This window comes from Homo sapiens, chromosome 1 (genome assembly GCF_000001405.40).
Source record: "Homo sapiens chromosome 1, GRCh38.p14 Primary Assembly".
NCBI lineage: Eukaryota > Metazoa > Chordata > Mammalia > Primates > Hominidae > Homo > Homo sapiens.
The window spans coordinates 116,138,150-116,139,402 of record NC_000001.11 but is presented as its reverse complement, the minus strand read 5'-3'; the positions used below and the strand labels follow the sequence as shown (position 1 = coordinate 116,139,402).

General features: G+C 47.0%; 2 annotated features.

Annotated features, from left to right (window-relative positions):
- Positions 1–295: an enhancer, noted in NCBI's record as "tiled region #11424; K562 Activating DNase unmatched - State 5:Enh". NCBI's record gives its function as "activates a minimal TATA promoter and a strong SV40 promoter by Sharpr-MPRA in K562 cells {active_cell/tissue: K562}" and the evidence as "EXISTENCE:reporter gene assay evidence [ECO:0000049][PMID:27701403]".
- Positions 394–443: an enhancer, noted in NCBI's record as "active region_1557". NCBI's record gives its function as "activates an Ori minimal core promoter by ATAC-STARR-seq in GM12878 lymphoblastoid cells {active_cell/tissue: GM12878}" and the evidence as "EXISTENCE:reporter gene assay evidence [ECO:0000049][PMID:35858748]".

Here is a 1,253-nt window from a genome sequence, read left to right as displayed (position 1 = left end):
GGAGAAAGATGTAAATCTCGGCTAAAATGGCAGGAAAGGTCAACAATTTGGCATGAGCTGGAATCCACTCATCCTTGCTCTGGAGGGACCAGGTGTAAGTTACGGGCTGAGAAGTGTGACACCTGCTGGGCTCCGAGGACGAGAATGGGTGGGACCTGGCTCCTTTCATATGTGTTCCCTTGCTGCCCTCTGCTGGCAAGAATTGGGAATACGCAGGAAGCTGCTGGTAGCCCTGCTTCCTGCAAAACCCTCAGATCTCAGGGGAAAGACGGAAAGAATCTACCGGAATCAGACTGTGGCGCACGTCAGTTCCTCCCTTTCCACACACGTACACACATATTGAACCAATGTTACAGTCAATTTTCACTTTTTAGCATTCCGTGACTGTGTAGCTGTTTTAAAAGTTGCTTAAGATGGTTTTTGTTTTGTTTTGAGACAGAGTCCCGCTCTGTAGCCCAGCCCAGGCTGGAGAGCAGTGGCCAGATCTCAGCTCACTGCAAGCTCTGCCTCCCAGGTTCAAGCGATTCTCCTGCCTCAGCCTCCCAAGTAGCTGGGATTACAGGTGCCCACCACCATGCCTGGCTAATTTTTGCATTTTTAGTAGAGACGGGATTTCACCACGTTGGCCAGGCTGGTCTGGAACTCCTGGCCTCAAGGGATCCGCCCACCTAGGCCTCCCAAAGTTCTGGGATTACAGGCCTCAGCCACCCTGCCCGGCCGAAATTAAATTTAAAACCTTATTACATTTGCCACCTTTTCAAAAATGATGTTTCCTAAGATACAAGAATATGAGAATTAGAATACAAATTTTTGATGATTTAACAAAATGTTAGTTTGTTCACCATTTTATATGCTCTTTTTAAATTTTTTTTTTAGAGACAGGGTCTCCCTTCCGGTGACTCCGTCACCCAGGCTAGAGTGCAGTGGTACAATCAAAGCTCACTGCAGCCTCAGACTCCTGGTCTCAAGGAATCCTCTCATCTCAGCCTCCTGAGCACCACATCCGGCTAATTTTTAAATTTTTTGTAGAGACGGGGTGTCAGTGTCTGGCTATGTTGCCCAGGCTGGTCTTGAACTCCTGGTCTCAAGTGACCCTCCTGTCTCAGCCTCCCACAGTGCTGGGATTACAGGCATGAGCCACTGCACCAAGCCTTCATGTTTTCAAAAATTGTAAACTCATTGTTGGTTTGGAAATTTTTTTTTCAATATTTTAAAATCATTACTTATTAAACGATAGCCTAGGGACCCCACCA